The sequence below is a fragment of the Homo sapiens genome, chromosome 11 (assembly GCF_000001405.40).
Source record: "Homo sapiens chromosome 11, GRCh38.p14 Primary Assembly".
Lineage (NCBI taxonomy): Eukaryota > Metazoa > Chordata > Mammalia > Primates > Hominidae > Homo > Homo sapiens.
The window spans coordinates 63,472,165-63,492,633 of NC_000011.10; the positions used below are offsets into that span (position 1 = coordinate 63,472,165).

Consider the following 20,469-nt stretch of genomic DNA (forward strand, 5'->3'; position numbering starts at 1 on the left):
CTGCACATCCTGCACACATACCCCAGAACTTAAAAGTTGAAGAAAAAAAAAGGAAAGAAAAAAACAGCCCAAACAGCCATCAATAAGGACCAGTTAAGTAAATAATCCTATATCCACACACACAGAGACATTAGAGAGAGGAAGTTGAATTTACATGAGCAGCGTAATGCTGCTGAGATTCATGCTTGCTGCAGCATGCGTCAGTTACTCCATTATATGGAGGCACCACATTTTGCTTAACCAACGTTGTTCTTTTTCAGTATCACTTTGGCTATCCCAGGTCCTTTGTCTTTCCATGTAAATTTTAGGATCACTTCATCAATGGTTATCAAAAAAAATATTTTGACAGGGATTGTGTTTAATCTGTAGATCGATTTGGTGAAGACTGCCACCTTAAGATTGCAGATATTTCGCAATCCACAAACATGGAATTTTTTGTGTGTACTTAAATCTTCAATCTCCCTTACCAATGTTTTGTAGCCTAACATTTTTGTTAAAGTTATTCCTAAGTATTTTTATGCTATGATGAATAGAATTATTTTTTTAATTTCATTTTCAGGTAGTTCACTTGTAATATAAAGAAATTCCATTGATTTTTGTACATTAGCCTTATATTCTGCAACTTTGCTGAACATATTTAATTCTAATGGTTTTGTGGCCCAGGCGCGGTGGCTCATGCCTGTAATCCCAGCACTTTGGGAGGCCAAGGTGGGTGGATCACTTGAGGCAAGGAATTCAAGACCAGCCTGGGCAACATGGTGAAACCCCATCTCTATTAAAAATACAAAAAAAAAAATGAGCCAGGAGTGGTGGCACACGCCTGTAGTCCCAGTTACTTGGGAGGCTGAGGCACGAGAATCGCTTGAATCCGGGAGGCAGAGGTGGAAGTGAGCTGAGATCGTGCCACTGCACCACCGCACTCCAGCATAGGTGACAGAGCAAGACTCTGCCTCAAAAAAAAAAAAAGTTCTAATAGTTTTGTAAGTACAGGCATGTCTCATTTTACTGTGCTTTGCTTTATTGTGCTTCACAGATATTTCATTTTTTACAGATTAAAGGTTTGTGACAACCGTGCGTCAGATAAGTCAATTGGCGCCTTTTTTCAAACAGCGTGTGCTCGCTTTGTTAGCATTTTTTAGCAATAAAGTATTTTTAATTAAAGCATGTACTTTTTTACATGTAATGCTATTGCAAATTTAATAGGCTACAGAATAATGTAAACATAACTTTTATATGCACTGGGAAACCAAAAAATGTGTGCGACTCACTTTCTTGCAATATTCGTTTTATTCTGACGGTCTAGAACCAAACCCACAATATGTCTGAAGTATACCTGTATGTGATTGACTCCTTAGGATTTTCTACATACATTGAATTTTTCATAGGTGCCCTTTTTCAAGTTGAGGAAACTCCCTTTAACTGAGTTCAAGAGAATTTTTTTTTATCATGAATGGCAGATTTTGACAAATGCTTTTTCCAGAGGTATTGAGATGATCATATGATTTTTGTCCTTTACTCTATTAACATGATATTTTTTTGTTGTTTTTTTTTTTTTTTTGGTTTTTTGAGAGGAAGTCTAACTCTGTTGCCCAGGCTGGAGTGCAGTGGCGCAATCTTGGCTCACTGCAACCTCCACCTCCTGCGTTCAAGTGATTCTCGTGCCTCAGCCTCCCAAGTAGCTGGATTACAGGCATGCGTCACCACTCCCAGGTAATTTATTTGGTTTGTTTCACCTTGTTAACCAGGCTGATCTCAAACTCCTGACCTCAACTGATCTGCCTGCCTCCACCTCCCAAAGGGCTAGGATTACAGGCATGCCCCACAGCGCCCAGCCCTGGTATATTACATTAATTGACTTGGGGGTGTTACACCAAACTTGCATTTCTGGGATAAATCTTAGTCATTGTGTATAATCATTTTTATATTCATGCTGGATTCCATTTGCTAGCATTTTTCTGAGGGTTTTTACATGTATATTCATAGAGATATTAGTCTTGTAGCTTCCTTTTTTTGAGATACCTTGGCTTTGGTATCAAGGTAATACTGGCCTCACAGAATGAGTTGGGAAGCATTTCTTCCTCTATTTTCAGAAAGAGTTTATGAAAGATTGGTAATTTTTCTTATTTAAACGCATGGTAGAATTCTTGAGCAAAGCCATCTGGGCATGAGATTTTCTTTGTGAAAAGATTTTTATTTACTAATTCAATTTAGATTTTCTAGTTTTTCTTGAGCCAGTTTTATAATTTGTGTCTTTCTAGGAACTTACCCAATTCATCTCAGTTGTCTAATTTGTTTGCTTAAAGTTTTTCATAGTGTTCCCTTTTATGTCTATAAGATTGATAGTGAGCCCCCTCTTACATTCCCAGTTTTGGCAATTTGAGTGCTCTCTCTTTTTTTCTTGGTTAGTGTAGCTAAAAGTTTGTCTATTTTACCTTTCCAAAATACTATCTTTTGGCTTCATTCATTTTCTTTATTGATTTCTGTTTTCTATTTCATTGATTTCTACTCCAGTTGTTATCATTTTCTTACTTCTGCTTGTTTTGGTTTTAGTTTGCTTTGTTTCCCTAGTTTCCTAAGGTAGGAGCTTAGATTATTGATTTGAGATATTTTTTCCTTTCTAATACAGGCATTTGCAGCTATAAATTTTCCTCTAAGCACTTCAGCTGCATCTCATAAAATTGATATGTTCTGTGTTCATTTTCACTCAACTCAAAATATTTTCTAACTTCCTTGTTCTTTTTTTGACCATGGGTTATTTAGATGTATGTTGCTTAATTTCCAAATACTTGTAAATTTCCCAAAATATCACTTGGCTATTAATTTCTAATTTAATTTCATGTGATCAGATAAAATATTTTGCAGGATTTCAATCCCTTCAAATTTACTGAGACTTGCTTTATGGCCTAGAAGAGGGTCTACACTGGAAAACACTCATGTGTGCTAGAGAAGAATATGTATTCTGTTGTTGAGTAAAATGTTTTATAAATGTCAGTTAGATCATGTCAGTTAGTTGCTTACATCTTCTATCTGCTCACTGATTTTCTGTCTAGTTGTTCTATCCACTATTGAGAGTGGGGTATTGAAGTCTCCCAACTATTATTTCTGAATTCCCAATTTATCCCTTTATTTCTATCAGTTTTTGCTTCATACTTTTTGGGATTATTTTGTTGGATATGTATATGTTTATAATTGTTATATCTTCCTGATGAATTCACCTTTTGTCATTATAGAATGACCCTTTTTTTCTAATAATACCTCTTCTCTTAAAATCTATTTTGTCTGATATTAGTACAACCACTCCTGCTACGGCTACTGTTTATATCAACCTATTTGTGACTTTAGATCTAAAGTGTGCCTCTTGTGGATGGCATATAACTGGATCTTGTACTATCAAGTCATATGATCTCTGCCTTTTTTTGGTGTGTTTAATTCATTCACATTTAATGTTACTATTAATAAAGTTGGATTTATGACTATAATTTTACTGTCAATCTTCTGTACATCACGTCTTTTTTGTTCCTCTGTTCCTCTTTTGCCTTCTTTTTTGTATCAAATACGTATTTTCTAATGATCATTTTAATTCCTCTGTTAACTTTTTAATAACATTTTTAATAGTTTTCTTTGTGGTTGCTCTAGGGATTACAATGTGCATCTTGACTTATTGCTATCTACTTCAGATTAATACTAACTTGATTCCTGTAAAATATGGAAACTTAAAATTAGCTCCATTCCTTCTTCCCTCCTTTATGTTATTATTGTCAGATATATTACATCCAAATATGTTATAAACCGAAGACAGTGTTACAAATATTGCTTTATACAAATTTTTGTCTTTTAAATTAGTTAAGAGAAAAAGGAAAAAGTATACTTATGGTCATTTATATTAACTACATTTTACCATTTCTGGTACTCTCCATTTCTTCCTGTTGATTAAGATACTTACTGTCTGGTGTCATTGATCTAATACAGCTTCATTTCAGTCCCTCTCCTTTGTGCTATTACTATTATATTTATTATATATTTGCATGTTATAAGACCAAGAATAGGATTTATAACTAGTTTTATTCAATTACCTTTCAAATTGGTCAGCATAAATGATAAAATATATATTTAGATTCTTCTGTATAATTACCTTTACTGGTGCTTTGTATTTCATGTGGCTTAGAATGCTATCTGGTGTGACTTTCTTTCCACCCAAAGAATTTTCTTTGCTATTTATTTTAAGGCAAGTGTGCTAGCCACAAATTCTCTCATTCTCCATTCATCTGGGACTATCTTTATTTCACCTTCATTTTTGCAAGATACATTACTGGATACAAAATTATTGGTTAACAGGTTTTTTTCTTTCAGCATTTTTAATATGTCATCCCACTGCCTTCTGGTCTCCATTGTTTCTGATGAAAAGTTGACTATTGTTTTTTATTGTGCATCTCTTGTATACAATAAGTCTTTTTTTCTCTTGCTGTTTTCAAGATTCTCTCTTTGTGTTTGGCTTTCATCTGTTTGAATGATATGTCTGGGTATTCACAGAGCTTCTTGGGTGTATAGATTAATGTTTTACATCAAATTTGGAAAGTATTCAGTTATCTTTTATATAGGTATTTTTTTCTGCCTTTTTATCATCTCTCTTTCTGGGACCCCAATTATACATTTGTTGGTTTGCTCAATGGTGTCTCCTTGGCCTCTGAGGCTCTGTTCATTTTTCTTTTTCTTTTTCCTCCTACTCTTCATACTAGGTAGTTGCTGTTGATCCATCTTTGAGTTTGCTGATTCTTTTTTCTTTTTGGTAACTCAAATTTGCTGTTAAATCACTCTAGTGAATGTTTTATTTTGGCCATTGTGTTTTTCAACCCCAGTATTTTCATTTGGTGCTTCTTTATCATTTCTACCTCCTTATTAATATTGTATATTTGATCGGTCATTGTCATTCCACTTTCCTTTAATTCTTTAAACTTGATTTTATTTACTTCTTTAAATATACTCAAAATAGCAGTTTAGAAGTATTTGCTACATGCAACATGTAGGCCCACTAGGAAACAGTCTCTACTGTTTTTGTGTGTATGGGTCCCTCTTTCCTGTTTCTTTGCAGGTCTCATAATTTGTTGTTGAAAAACTGGACGTTCTAGGTAACATACCGTAGCAACTGTGGGCTCTGATCTCCTTCCCCACCCAACCAGGGCGGACGGTTGTTGCTGTTTGCTTGTTTGTTTGTTGTTTGTTTAGTGACCCACCTGGACTGATTCTGTGATGTCTGTTTGTCTCACAGCATGTAACCACTGAGATATCTGCTTAGAGTTTTTTTCTTGTTTTTATTTTTATTTATTTTTTTGAGACAGAGTCTCGCCGTGTCGCCCAGGCTGGAGTGCAATGGTGTGATCTCGGCCCACTGCAACCTCCGCCTTCCAGGTTCAAACGATTCTCCTGCCTCAGCCTCCTGAGTAGCTGAGATTACAGGTGCCTGCCACCATGCACAGCTAATTTTTGTATTTTAGTAGAGACAGGGTTTCACCATGTTGGCGAGGCTGGTCTCGAACTCCTGACCTCATGATCCGCCCACATCAGCCTCCCAAAGTGCTGGGATTACAGGCGTGAGCCACAGTGCCCGGCTTCTTGTTTTTAAGCCTGGCTTCCTAGATCGGCATAGCTTAATGGCCAGAAGTTGAGCCACACCTTGTGCCGCGAAGGCTTTACCTTTTGTCAGTGGATCTCTGTGTGGCTTGGAGAATTCATTCAAAGTTCCAGATTTTTATGAGTCTCCAGTCTGTCCTGAATGTGAATGTGTATGCAGCCTTGTGCATACCTTCTAGACCACCAGACACATGTGGCAGCTTTTCAAGACCCTCTTTAGTTGTATCATTACCTGGATTTCCATGTTAAATTTTTGGCAGGCCTGTTGGCCTATTGCTTGTCCTAACCAGTACTGCAACCTCAAGCTAGCTGCAATTTTGGTCTTCCATGATTGTCACTGAGATAACTCTTGTTTTCAACAACCCTGGGCATGGAAGTAAAGTCAGTCACCCTCTGCTGCCACGCCATTCCCTCCCACAAGCCCCACCCACCTGGATAGAACTTCCTTACCACAACCGCAGAGCTGGAGGTGAAGGGGCAATGCTAAAACACTACAGACTTCCACTGTTCTTTCTGAGAACCAATAGACTTTCTTTTTTTTTTTTTTAGACGGAGTCTTGCTCTGTTACCCAGGCTGGAGTGCAGTGGCGCGATCTCAGCTCACTGCAACCTCCGCCTCCCTGGTTTCAAGGGATTCTCCTGCCTCAGCCACCCGAGTAGCTGGGACTACAGGCTCGCGCCACCACGCCCTGCTGATTTTTTGTATTTTTAGTAGAGACGGGGTTTTACCGTGTTAGCCAGGATGGTCTCAATCTCCTGACCTGCCCGCCTTGGCCTCCCAAAGTGCTGGGATTACAGGCGTGAGCCCACGCCCGACCACGGATGGACTTTCTTAAATTAACCCTTCTCAATCTGTTGTATGGCTTTGGTCAAATTTCCAGTCTTTAAATGACTGTCTTTGGCAATTTTGTCTGGCTTCATAATTGTTTTGGGAAAAGAGGATTTGCTGAGATCTGCACTCAGCCATTCCACAAGTCCTGCCCACTTGCAGCAATGAGTTTTTGTGGGCACAAAGCAAACAGTATACACTACAATATTTCATGGAAGGAACTGAGGCCAAGAGAGAGGAAGTGCTTTGTCTAAAGTCCCACAGCAAGTCCATGGTCGAGCTAGGACCAGAACTACTCCCTTGCCCCTGCCAACAAACCAACTCTTTCTTCTGCCTTAAAGGGAAAATGTAATGGCAGCCACATATCCACTAGAGGGCTCCCCATACCAGGCTTCTCACCCAGAAAGCAGAATGATATTGCAGGAGACTTCAAACTGGACTTCATTTTCTTTTGCCATAAGCCCAGGGAAAGCAGTAGGGATATCCCCCACCATAAATCCCGGAAGCCGGTAGTATACAGAAGAGGTTGAGTGCTACGAGTTGGGAAGACAGCATGTGAGTGATGTAGATGGATACAGAGGAGCAGAAAGCAGCCAAGAGAGTAAGTGAAGAAAGGCAAAGTGGAGGAGAGCTCTTTCTCGTCCTTTGAAGAAGACTAAAAAGGAACAATAGCAAATAGTATTTTCTTTGTGATTCAGATAGTAATAAGACTATATTGCTTTAAGCAGATGCCTCTGTCTTCATAAATGGCAAAGGATCAGAGAAACTGTTTTAAAATGTTCATAAGAAAGTCTGAAGTTTAAATATTTTGAAGCTCATTTTAAAAAATCAAGTCAGGTTCAACATTTGCATGTGCAGATGCAGGTAAACAGTTAAATTGCCTTTAATTTATAATTTAGGTATATACAGATTTTTGATTCATAGATTGTCTAATTATTTTTTCCTTTCAGACATAGGTAAATGAGAGAGGAAGAGAAGTTATTTAGCCTAATTTCTTTATATGAACATATGTGCTAAGCTGAGGCCATTTCTGCTATTATACACACATGACACAGGAGACCCCATAGGCCCATCCTCACTGTTACAGTAATCTAAGGACCATTACTATCTAAGTCCTGACACTGGTCAGGAAGAAAAACAGAAATGCCCATGGACAAAAGATGAACAAGAAGTGAAGAACAGGCGCCAGAGCTCAAATCAATCCAACTCAGGCTATTATTTCTGGCATTGATCAGGGTGAAGGAAATGGCAGTAACAGTAAGATTATGGGACAGGTTTTTCTGAGTCACTCCAGAGGGAAAGCCACTTGACACGTTATGTTACTCTTGAACTAACCCCTGATTCCATCTCACTCTACCTGACCACAGACCCCAATACCTTAGAGTCCTAACCAATGCCTTTCACCCACCATCCACCATATCTAGTGGAGGGCAGGGCTCTCAGAGTCGGCCAAGCCAGCTGGACGGTCACGTCTGTTCTTTGTAGGAACATGCGGTCCGTTCTTCACCATCCCTCCACCTTGGACATATTTCCCCACCAACCAAATAGCCAGTTACTTCCCACTCAACATGGCTAGGTCATTCCCTATGACAACAAACAAGCAATCAATCAAATCCTTGTTGTTGTTTCCTGGAAAACTGACAGCAAGAAGATAACCCAATTCATTGTGAGGCCAATCTAAGCCAGAAGAAAGCTCAGAAAACCCAAGTTCTGTTCATCAAGGATGTCGAACAAGCTTTGTGGTACAGAAAACAGAAGGCTCAGGGATTGGAGAAGGAAAGAGGAGGGAATTTTGGAATTTTAAGTATTTTCTTTTGCATTTTAATACTCTCTCATCTGCAATATTGCCACTGGATGAGGTAGTAAGGTATAAAACTAAATGGGATTCACAGAGACTTAACAGTTATCCACTCTCTTGTTAAATTTCCTCCCACTGTAAATCGATTATATTGAGTATTGATTCTCAGCCTTGGTTACAAATTGAAATCGCCTGTGGAGCTTTAAAAAGTTCAGATTGGTCTGGAGTATAGCCTGGGTGCCAGAGTTTTAAAAGCTCCTTAGGTGAGTTTAAGGTGCAGCCAAGGTTGCGGTTATACTGGGGTCTTTTCTACAGTCCCATCCTTCCCTTTTTCTTTTCTTTAACATCTCTCCAGCATTTCATGAAGTTCTGCTAACTTCATGAGCCACAGAGTAGCTGTCTGTATGCTACAGAGCCGCCTCCAATCCCAGTTGATGCTGGTACCTTCAATTCTAGGTGAAGATTTTGCTGCCCTGTTTGCCTTTGTGTGATTGGATTAATTCGAAAGCCTTGTCTTCAAGCTCTTTCTTTTATTAATACTTGTTCAGTTCTATTTCCCATGCATTTTGTATATCTCTAAGTGTGTCTTTCATTTCCATAAGTTGTGCTTTTAATTTATAATTTCTATTTTTCTGGAGCATTTTTCATCCATATGCTGTATTGTCTTAAAAAATTGCTTTAACTTGGTTTTCACCTTTCTCTGGTATCTCCTTGAATAGCTTAATAATCAACCTTCTGGGCTGGGTGTGGTGGCTCACGCCTATAATCCCAGCACTGTGGGAGGCTGAGGCAGGTGGATCACCTGAGCTCAGGCGTTCAAGACCAGCCTGGCCAATATGGCAAAACCCCTCCTCTACTAAAACTACAAAAATTAGTGAGACATGGTGGCACATGCCTGTAATCCCAGCAACTGGGGAGGCTGAGGCAGGAGAATCACTTGAACCTGGGAGATGGAGGTTGCAGTGAGCCAAGATCGTGCCATTGCACTCCAGCCTGGGTGACAGAGCAAGACTCCATCTCAAAAATAATAATAATAATAATAATCAACCTTCTGAATTCTGTTTGTCCCTTTAGAATAAATGTTCATTTCAAAGCTCCCCGTACATCTGCACAGGCTGGCAACCCAGCTCTGGCCCTTCTCCCGGAAACAGGTGCCCACTTAGAGAAACTCCTATTTTCTAAGGCCTCCTATCTGACAAAGAAAAAAATAATCATAGCAAAGACTTGGAACCAACCCAAATGTCCAACAATGATAGACTGGATTAAGAAAATGTGGCACATATACACCATGGAATACTATGCAGCCATAAAAAATGATGAGTTCATGTCCTTTGTAGGGACATGGATGAAGCTGGAAACCATCATTCTCAGCAAACTATCGCAAGGACAAAAAACCAAACACCGCATGTTCTCACTCATAGGTGGGAACTGAACAATGAGAACACATGGACACAGGAAGGGGAACATCACACACCAGGGACTGTTGTGGGGTAGGGGGAGCGGGGAGGGATAGAATTAGGAGACATACCTAATGCTAAATGATGAGTTAATAGGTGCAGCGCACCAACATGGCACATGTATACATATGTAACAAACCTGCACGTTGTGCACATGTACCCTAAAACTTAAAGTATAATAATAAAAAAAAAGAAAAAAATAATCAAAAGTATGAACAAAGCCTCCTAGAAATTTGGGATTATCTCAAATGACCAAAACTAAAAATAATTAGTGTTCCTGAGGAAGAAGAGGAATCTAAAAGTTTGGAAAACACATTTGAGGGAATAATTGAGAAAAATTTCCCTGGCCTTACCACAGATCTAGACATCAAAATACAGGAAACTCAACAACTGGGAAATTCATCACAAAAAGATCATCATCCAGGCACATAGTCATCATGTTATCTAAAATCAAGACAAAGGAAAGAATCTTATGAGCTGTGAGGCAAAAGCGTCAGGTAACCTAGAAAGGAAACCCTAATAGGTTAACAGCAGATTGCTCAGCAGAAACCCTGCAAAACAGAAGGGACTGGGGTCCTATCTTTAGCCATCTCAAACAAAATAATGGTCAGCCAAGAATTTTGTATCCAGCAAAATTAAGCTTCATAAGTGGAGGGGAAATAAAGTCTTTTTCAGACAAAGAACTGCTGACAGAATTCACCACAACTAAGCCAGCACTACAAGAAATGATAAAAGGAGTTCTAAATCTTGAAAGAAAACTTCAAAATACACCAAATTAGAACCTCCTTAAATCTCACACAGCCTATAAAATAATAACACAATTTTTAAAAAAAAAGATATTCAGGCAACAACTAGCACAATGATTAAAACAGCACCTCACATCTCAATACTAAAATTGACTGTAAATGGCCTAAATGCTCCACTTAAAGGATACAGAATGGCAGAATGGATTAAAATCCACCAACCAAGTATCTGCTGTCTCTAAGAGACTCACCTAATGCATAAGGACACATAAACTTAAAAGGGGAGGAAAAAGATATTCCAAGCAAATGGAAACCAAAAGTGAGCTAGAGTAGCTATTCTTATATAAGACAAAACAGACCTTAAAACAACAACGGTTTAAAAAGACCAAGAGGGACATTATATAATAATAAAAAGATCAGTCCAACAGGAAAATATCATAATCCTAAATATATATGCACATAACACAAGAGCTCCTAAGTTTATAAACCAATTATTACTACACCTAAGAAATGAGATAGATGGCAACACAGTAATAGTGGGGGGACTTCAGTACTCCACTGACAGCACTAGACAGGTCATCAAGACGGAATGTCAACAAAGAAACAATGGACTTAAACAATACCCTAGAACAAATAAACTTAACAGATATTTACAGAACATTCCACCCAACAACTGCAAAATATACATTCTTTTCATCAGCACATGGAACATTCGCCAAGATAGATCATTTGATAGGCCACAAAACAAGTTTCAATCAATTTAAGAAAATCGAAAATATATCAAGTACCCTCTCAGACCACAGTGGAATAAAATTAGAAATTAACTCTGAAAGGAACCCTCAAAACTATACAAATACAAGGAAATTAAGTCATCTACTCCTCAATGATATTTGGTCAACAATGAAATCAAGACAGAAATTTAAAAATTCTTTGAACTGAACAATAATAGTGACACAACTTATCAAAAGCTCAGTGACACAGCAAAAGTGGTGCTAAGAGGAAAGTTCATAGCATTAAATGCCTACACCAAAAAAAAAAAAAAAAAAAAATCTAAGGTTACACCTCAAGGAACTAGAGAAACAAGAATAAACCAAACCTAAATCAGCAGAGGAAAAGAAATAACCAAGATCAGAGCAGAAGTAAATGAAATTGAAGCAAAAAAAAAATATATATATATATATGTATATATATATATATATATATATATATATATATATATATATACACATATATATATATGAAACAAAAAGCTGGTTCTTTGAAAAGATAAACAAAATTGATAGACCATTAATGAGATTAACCAAGAAAAGAGAAGAGATCCAAATAAATTCAATTAGAAAAGACATGGGAGATATTAAAACTGAGACCACAGAAATACAAAAGATCATTCACACACACAAACTAGAAAATCTAGAGGATATGGATAAATTCCTGTAAATATGCAACCCTCCTAGATTAAATCAGGAAGAAATAGAAACTCTGAACAGACGATAACAAGTAGCAAGATTGAAACAGTAATTTTTAAAAATGCCAACAACAGAAAAAAAAAAAAAAGTCCAGGACCAGACAGATTCACAGCTGAATTCTATCAGGCATTCAAAGCATTGATATCAATCTTACTGAAACTATTCCAAAAGACAGAGAAAGGGGGAATGCTCCCTAAATCCTTATATAAAGCCAGCATCACCTTAATACCAAAACCAGGAAAGGACATAAAAAAAAAAAGAAAACTACAGACCAATATCCCTGATGAACACGGATGCAAAAATCCTCAACAAAATACTAGTTAACTGAATCAAACAGCATATCAAAAAGATAATCCACCATGATCAAGTGGGTTTTATAGCAGGGATGCAGGGATGGTTTAATATATGCAAGTCAATAAATGTGATATATCACATAAACAGAATTAAAAACAAAAATCACATGATTATCTCAATAGACACAGAAATAGCATTTGACAAGATCCAGCATCCCTTTATGATTAAAAACCTCAACAAAATCAGCATAAAAGGGACAAACCTCAAGGCAATAAAAGCCATCTACGACAAACCCACAGCCAACATTATAGTGATTGGGGAAAAGTTGAAAGCATTCCCCCAGATAACTGGAAAAAGACGAGGATGCCCACTTTCACCACATTTATTCGACATAGTGCTAGAAGTCCTAGCCAGAGCAATCAGACAAGAGAAAGAAATAAAGGGCATCCAAATCAGTAAAAAGGAAGTCAAACTGTTGCTGTTTGCTGATATGATCATAGACCTGGAAAACCCTAAAGCCTAATCCAAAAAGTCCTAGAACTGGTAAATCAATTTAGCAAAGTTTCAGGATACAAAATTATTGTACACAAATCAGTAGCCCTGCTGTACACCAACAATGACCAAGCTGAGAATCAAATCAAGAACTCAACCCCTTCTAAAACAGCTGTAAAAAAAAAAAAATACTTAGGAATATACCTAACCAAAGACATGAAAGATCTCTACAAGGAAAACAAAACACTGCTGAAAGAAATCACAGATGACACAAACAAATGGAAACACATCTCATGCTCATGGATGGGTAGAATCAATATTGTGAAAATGATCATACTGCCAAAAGCAATCTACAAATTTAGTGTAATTCCCATCAAAATACCTATTCACAGAACTAGAATGAAACAATCCTAAAATTAGTATGGAACCAAAAAAGAGCCCACATAGCCAAAGCAAGACTAAGCAAAAAGAACAAATCTTGAGGCATCACATTACCTGACTTTGAACTATACTGCAAGGCTATAGTTACCAAAACAGCATGGTACTGGTATAAAAACAGGCATGTAGACCAATGTAACAGAATAGGGAACCCAGAAATAAAACAAAATACAGCCAACTGTCTTCAACAAAGCAAACAAAAACATAAAGTAGAAAAGGACATCCTATTCAACAAAAAATGCTGGGATAATTGGCAAGCCACATGTAGAAGAATAAAGCTGGATCCTCAACTCTCACCTTCTACAAAAATCAACTCAAGATGCATCAAAGATTTAAATCTAAGATATGAAACCATAAAAATTCTAGAAGATAACATCAGAAAAACCCTTCTAGACATTGGCTTAGGAAAAGAGTTCATGATCAAGAACCCAAAAGCAAATGCAACATAAACAAAGATAAATAGATGGGACCTAATTAAACCAAAAAGCTTCTGCACAGCAAAAGAAACAATAAGCAGAGTAAACGGACAACCCACAGAGTGGGAGAGAATTTGTACAAACTATGCATTCAACAAAGGACTAATATCCAAAATCTGCAAGGAAATCAAGCAAATAAATCAGCAAGGAAAAAAACAATCCCATCAAAAAGTGGGCAAAGGACATGAACAGGCAATTCTCAAAAGAAGATATACAAATGGCCAACAAACATATTAAAAAACTGCTCAACGTCACTAATTATCAGAGAAATGCAAATCAAAACCACGATGCAATAATACCACCTTACTCCTCCAAAATGGCCATAACTTAAAAATAAAAAAAATAATATGTGTTGGCATAGATGTGGTGAAAAGGGAACACTTTTACACTGCTGGTGGGGATGTAAACTGATACAATCACTATGGAAAACACCATGGAGACTCCTTAAAGAACTAGAAGTAGCACAACAATTTGATCCAGCAATCCCACTACTGGGTATCTAACCAGAGGAAAAGAAGTCATTGTATGAAAAAGGCACTTGCACATGCATGTTTATAGCAGCACAATTCACAACTGCAAAAATATGGAACCAGCCTAAATGACCATCAACCAATGAGTGGACAAAGAAAATGTGGTATATATATATATGCACACACACACACATACACACACACCACGGAATACTACTCAGCCGTAAAAAGGAATGAAACAATGACATTCACAGCAACCTGGATAGAGCTGGAGACCATTATTCTAAGTGAAGTAACTCAGGAATGGAAAACAAAAAAATCATATGCTCTCACTTATAAGTGGGGGCTAGCTATGAGGGCACAAAGGCATAAGAATGATGTAATCAACTTTAGGGACTCAGAAGGGAAGGGTGGGAGTGGGGTGAGGGATAAAAGACTACACATTGAGTATAGTGTACACTGCTCAGGTGATGGATGCACTAAAATCTCAGAAATCACCACGAAGGAACTTTTGCATGCAACCAAACACCACCTGTTCCCCCAAAACTATTGAAATAAAAATACAGATAAAAATGTATCAAATATGTAAATGTAAAAAACAAAACTATAAAATACCTAGAAGAAAACAGGAGAAAATCTTTGTGACACTGGATTAGGCAAAGGTCTCTTAGATACACCACCAAAGGCACTATTCATAGAGATTTATATGAAATCATGTTGTATGTCCACTTCTTTGGCGGTCTCCTTCATATAACTATTTTGAGTGACATCCGTGTTGTTGCTTTTTATCAACAGTTCATTCCTTTTTATTACTGAGCAGTATTTCATTACATTTCCGTTTTATAAAAGGAAAAGCTGACACATTGGACTTCATCAAAATTTAAGAACCTGTTCTGAAGAGACAAGCCACAGATGGAGAGAAAATATTATAAAGTATATATCTGATGACGTACTTGTATACAGAACTTCTGAAGAACTCTCAAAACATACAAACCAATAGGAAAAAATGGGCAAAAGATTTGAACACTTCACCAAAGATTATATATATGGATGGCAAATATACGCATGAAAAGACGTTCAACATTATTAGTCATTAGGAAAATGCAAATGAAAACCACAATGAGATACCTACACATCTATTAAAATAGCTAAAATTTAGAAGATTTTGACCATGCCAAATGCTGATGAACTGGAACTCTTATAAACTGCTGGTAGGAATGTAAAATGATACAACCACTGTGGAAAACAGTAAGTTAAGGTTAGAGCTCTTTTAGAATTTGTCTGGCAGGCTTGGAAAGCCCCAAAAAAGAAAAAAAAAATGTTAAGGAAAACAGTAAATTAAATATACATCTACCACATGACCTAGCCATTTCATTCCTACATATTCACCCAAGAGGAAAAAATATACAGTCTGCACAAAGACTCGTACATAAATGTTCAAGCAGATTTGTGATAGTCAAAAACTAGTAACAACTCAAATGCTCAATCAACAGGTGAACACATAAACAAGAGTGGTATATCCATACAATGAAATACTGCTCAGTAATAAAAAGGAATGAACTGTTGATAAAAAGCAACAACATGGATGTCAGTCAAAATAGTTATATGGGCTGGCTGCAGTGGCTCATGCCTGTAATCCCAACACTTTGGGAAGCCGAGGCGGGAGGATCATGAGGTCGGGAGATCGAGACCATCCTGGCTAACACAGTGAAACCCCGTCTCTACCAAAAATACAAAAAATTAGCCGGGCATGGTGGCAGGTGCCTCTAGTCCCAGCTACTCGGGAGGCTGAGGCAGGAGAATGGCGTGAGCCCAAGAGGCAGAGCTTGCAGTGAGCCAAGATCACGCCACTGCACTCCAGCCTGGGCGACAGAGCGAGACTCCATCTCGAAAAAAATATATATAGTTATATGAAGGAGACAGACAAAGAAGTGCACATACAATATGATTTCATATAAATCTCTAAAAATGTGAACACATCTATGGTGACAAAAAGCATATCAGTTGTTGCCTGGGGATGGGAGTGGTATGGGAAGAGAGAGGGATTACAAAAGGCACAAAGAAACTTTTGTAAATGACAGAGATTATTCATTATCTTGATTGTGGTGAAGATTTGACAGGATATATATATAGATGTCAAAATGTATCAAACTATACACTTCACTGGCATATATATATGCCAAATTTATCAAATTGTATATTTTAGATATGTGGAGTTTACTATATGTCAATTACACCTCAATAAAACTGCTTTAAAACAAAGCATAACCAACATCCCAAATCAGGATATTTATTAGACCATCTAAACCAAGTTTGTCCAACCCGCAGCCCACAGGCCACATACAGCCCAGGACAGCTTTGAATGTGGCCCAACACAAATTTGTAAACTTTATTAAAACATTATGAGACTTTTTTGTGGGTTTTTTTTTTTTTTAAGCTCAACAGCTATCGTCAGTGTTAGTGTATTTTATGTGTGGCCCAAGACGTTTCTTCTTCCAGTGTGGCCCAGGGAAGCCTAAAGATTGGACACCCCTAGAAACAAAGTAAAATACAATATGTAGAGAAGTTGCCAGGAGGTTAAAGATAGTCACTTTGAGAATTCTTGTTACACCTACCTCAGCTGCTTGCTTTATTAACTTGCCTTCATTCTCAGGCTTTGGAATTGAACTCCAGTCTGCTTTCTGGCTGGGTGTGGTCTCCAAGCTAACTACAGCCTTCTCCCTAAATGATTTTGCAATCACAAAGTTAACAAATATCACTATTTCATAATTATTGGAAAATCTGTATTACAGATTTGTGATTTTTAAGATGGCTTTTGGTTTGGAGACTGTAGGGAACATTTCCCCCCGTTTGTTTCTGTGAACCCATTAGCTTTCATACAAAAGAATTGCTGTTTGCTGGTTTTCTGACAATTGTTCAAATGCTAATGATAGCAAGAAGCAGTTTTGGGGGTTTTTATTTTTTAATTTGCTAATAATGTCTTTTTAATGTTTATCAAAGTGATACTTGCACATGGTTTCCAGTACATAAGAATTTATAATGAAATGCAAGGAGCCTTCCTCCTTTCCCTTTTCATCCCAGCCCTACTGCCCAGAGGCAAACCCCTTGAACTCTTTCTTCCAATAATTAGCCCCAGATTTCTAAGAAAGCTTGATAAGCCACAACACTGCAACTGCAAGTAATATGAATGAAATCAGTATATTTCTCCCTTGAAACAAAATGTTACAGGAGAGGACAGAAATGAAAGGCAAGAATATGCTTTCAAGCATATTAAATTAAGGTAGTATAGTAGAGTAAAATACTTCGAAGCCAAAAGATCTAGGTTTGAATCCTAGCTTTCATGATTGCTGTCCCACCTTGAGCTAGTAAATTAATGTCTGACTCTCAGCTTGATTATCTTTAAAAATAGAGATGAAAATGTGTCTCACAGTGGTCAAGAAGGTGAAAGGACACAGCACATGTAAACATCTGGTATACCACCAACTCAGAAATGACTTTTTCTTTACCTTTTCCCATGCTTTAAACTCTTCTCCAGAAAAAAATAGTGTGTGGGGCAGAGGGGACACCCCTCATTTTCAGTAGAGCTCCTCTCCAAAATTTCAGCCCCTCGGAATTTTTTAAAGCAGCAATCATCATGTTGTTAATGAAAGTGAATTCAGGAAATCTGCCAAAGGCCGACTCATTGTTCACTGATTAGTGAGACCAAGGACAATACTGTAAGCCTCCTGCTAAAGCCATTCATTTCTCTGGGGTCTAGAGAATGGCCTTGTGGCTAGAAACAGCTGCAACGCATGCCTGTGGCCAGCAGGTCCCAAGCCCAGTACCATCTGTTATCACCCAGGATCACACCAGCCTTCCCCTTGCTGGGTACCGGCTGGCTGGTTCACACAAAAACCACCTCTGGGTTTGTTTTACAGAACTGCATTCCAAGTCAATTCTCCAAAAGATTTCTTCCACCCAAAGACCCCAACCTTACAATCTTCTTACCCTTGCTGGATGCTTCTGCCCTGTTCTAATGTGCCCGGCGGAGGCTGCTTGGCTGGGAGCTGGACCAACGCTGCGAATCCCACGGATTCTTCTAATTCAAGGGGGGAAATGCTATTTAGACCTGTGAAAGGAGAGTTCGAGCAAGCACCTTGACCGCTACGGAGAGTGGGCTCAGAGCTCTAGTCTAGCATCGTGCCTGGCCCCTGGTTAGGCCTCAGAAAATCTTGGGATGAATGGAGAGGGTTGTGGAACTAGGTGCTGGAGCGGGTTCAGTTCCTCTGCCAAAGAGAGACTTTGGGATTCCTGGGAACGGAATCGGGGAGAGGATGAAGAAGGGCGCCTCGCCTCTATCCTAAGCCCGATGGGAGGAACCTCTGCCGAGCCAGAGCCGGTCTTAACACCACCCTCCGGAGCTGCCACCACTGCCTCACTTCCATATGAGATATAGCGGGAAGGAGGGAGTGGCTGCCTGGCTCGCTTTGATTAGCTTTATAACAAGCGGTCGTTCTGAAATACTCGCTCATGATGGCTAACAGACAACACAATCGCCAAATGTCTTAAGAAAAGGAGCTTTGAGGGTAACCGCCCGCTGGGACCTGAAGGACAATTGCGGATTGTCCTTCAGCCGCATTCTTGGGGCTGACCTGAGTGGGGCACAGCTGAACGTCTGAGCGCAGGCGGCTGGTCCTTGGGCCCGGTACTGGCGGTTCGCGAGGCGGGTTTGGGGAGGGGTGGGGGAATCCTAGGGAGGCGGAGCGCGTACTCCCCCTCGGCGCCCGGGCTCAGGCCCATCCCGCCTCTGCGGCCTCGCCGGCCCCCAGGCCTTGCAGGGGACTACGCCCCTGGCGAGTTCCCAGTCGGCGCGGCCCCTGGTCGGCGGAGCCGCGGAAGCTTGGGCACTGGGGGCGGCTCGGGGAGGAACCGCGGAGGGGAAAGCGCCGCGGGCTGCAAACGGCAGAGGCGCGCGGGGTGGCGACAGTGGCGCGGGCGCAGTGAGCGCGTCCGAGAACAGAATGGGACGAAACGGGGCGCTTAGAGGCCCGGGAATCTGTGGGTCTTTTAGGCGGAGAGGGGCGAAGGAGGTTATTCGTTTTGGGGAAGGTCATGGAAACAGCAAAGGCTCAGAGGTGGTGCCTAAAGTGGCTGGAGAAGCTGAACGGTTTGGAACAGAGGCGTGACTTGGAGGGGTAAATGGAGACCAGATTAGGAAGCCTTGGGAGGCACAATCAGGGGTTAAAATCTTGAACAATTCAGAGTTGTTTTATTTTTAAAAATATATAGAAAATGAAATCTACACTTACGTAATAGATAACTTATGAAAAAGTACATGGAATACACATGTTGCAGTCTTGCCAATGTACCTTAATGTAGCAGTTTCTCCTTGTCTGGACTGATACCCGGGATTCTTTGTCCTACTCCAAGAAAATTAAGGAACGGGACATAAGGTGAGGTGGGAGCGAAAGTTTAATAAGCGAAAGAAGAAAGCTCTCCACAGTGAGCTGAGTATGCAAGTGGATTGCCCTGTTACAGCTGAATTCAAAAGCTTTTGCAAGAAAATCTCTTATCTCTGTAGTAGTTTGAGTAACTTCTCTTATCAGTAAAGCTGTCTTACGCAGCTGTGGTTATGTATCTATGCAAGCACAAAGCACCGCCTTTTTTGTTTGCATAACTGTGGGTTTGTTTTAGGTAAGCCCCCCTCCTCCCTGTGAAAGTTCCCACCATGTATATGCCTGAAAAGGGGAGAAAACTTTCCTGGGAGCTCCCTAATTATACAAAGAACAAAAGGCTTCTGTGCTGGACCCTGTCTGCTTATCTGTGTGCAGGTGGAGCCTGAGTTTTTTACCAGGTTGTTTTATTTTTGCCTGTTGCTGTGACTTTTCAGGCAGGCCGCTTCTGCATTGAGTCTTCCCCAACTGATTTTCTCTTTCCTTCTCTCTCGCACACAGTTAGGAAACATAATGTAATTACTACCCATGACAAAACCATCCTACGTAAGAAATGGAACATTCCTAGTACAGATGCTCCCCACCTATGGATTCCTTCCTTATCCCTTCTCCCTCTGCACGCCCAACGTCTATCCTGACCTTTGTGTCTGTCATACCCTCACTTTTTAAAATAGTTTTTTAAATCGCTTCTTTGTATCCCTAATACATCACTTTGTTTTGCTTCTCTGAAACTTTATAAAAATGGTGCTATGGTCTGGGTGTTTGTGACTCCATAAAATTCATGTGCTAGAATTCTAACCCCCAAAGTGATGGTATCAGGAGATGGGCCCTTTGGTCATGAGTGGGATTCATAAGAGCCCTTATAAAGGAGGTCCTGCAGAGCTACCTAGCCACTTCCACCATGTGAGAACACAGCAGTTGCTGAGACCAGTCCCTCACAAGACAG

The 20,469-nt window shown here is 39.3% G+C and overlaps 1 protein-coding gene and 1 pseudogene across 7 annotated transcripts in view; one reads left to right on the forward strand and one right to left on the reverse strand.

Moving 5' to 3' along the window:
• The window catches only part of PLAAT5 (phospholipase A and acyltransferase 5), a 29,764-nt gene extending 10,761 nt beyond the window's left edge, over positions 1–19,003 (reverse strand). For 3 of the 7 annotated variants that reach the window (NM_001146728.2, NM_054108.4, XM_047426340.1), the window contains exons 1-3: positions 18,723–19,003; positions 18,079–18,199; positions 16,707–16,812 (exon numbers count right to left, since the gene is read on the reverse strand). In NM_001146728.2, the coding sequence (NP_001140200.2) occupies positions 16,707–16,812; positions 18,079–18,199; positions 18,723–18,870 (375 nt within the window). In that variant the 5' untranslated portion in view covers positions 18,871–19,003. Of the gene's footprint in view, positions 1–10,065; positions 10,157–16,706; positions 16,813–18,078; positions 18,200–18,722 lie in introns of those variants that run through there. The other 4 variants (XM_011544751.4, NM_001146729.2, XM_047426339.1 and 1 more) reach the window with 4 other exon arrangements.
• LOC124902822 (uncharacterized) lies at positions 15,346–15,394 on the forward strand (annotated as a pseudogene).
• Positions 19,004–20,469: the final 1,466 nt, after the last annotated feature.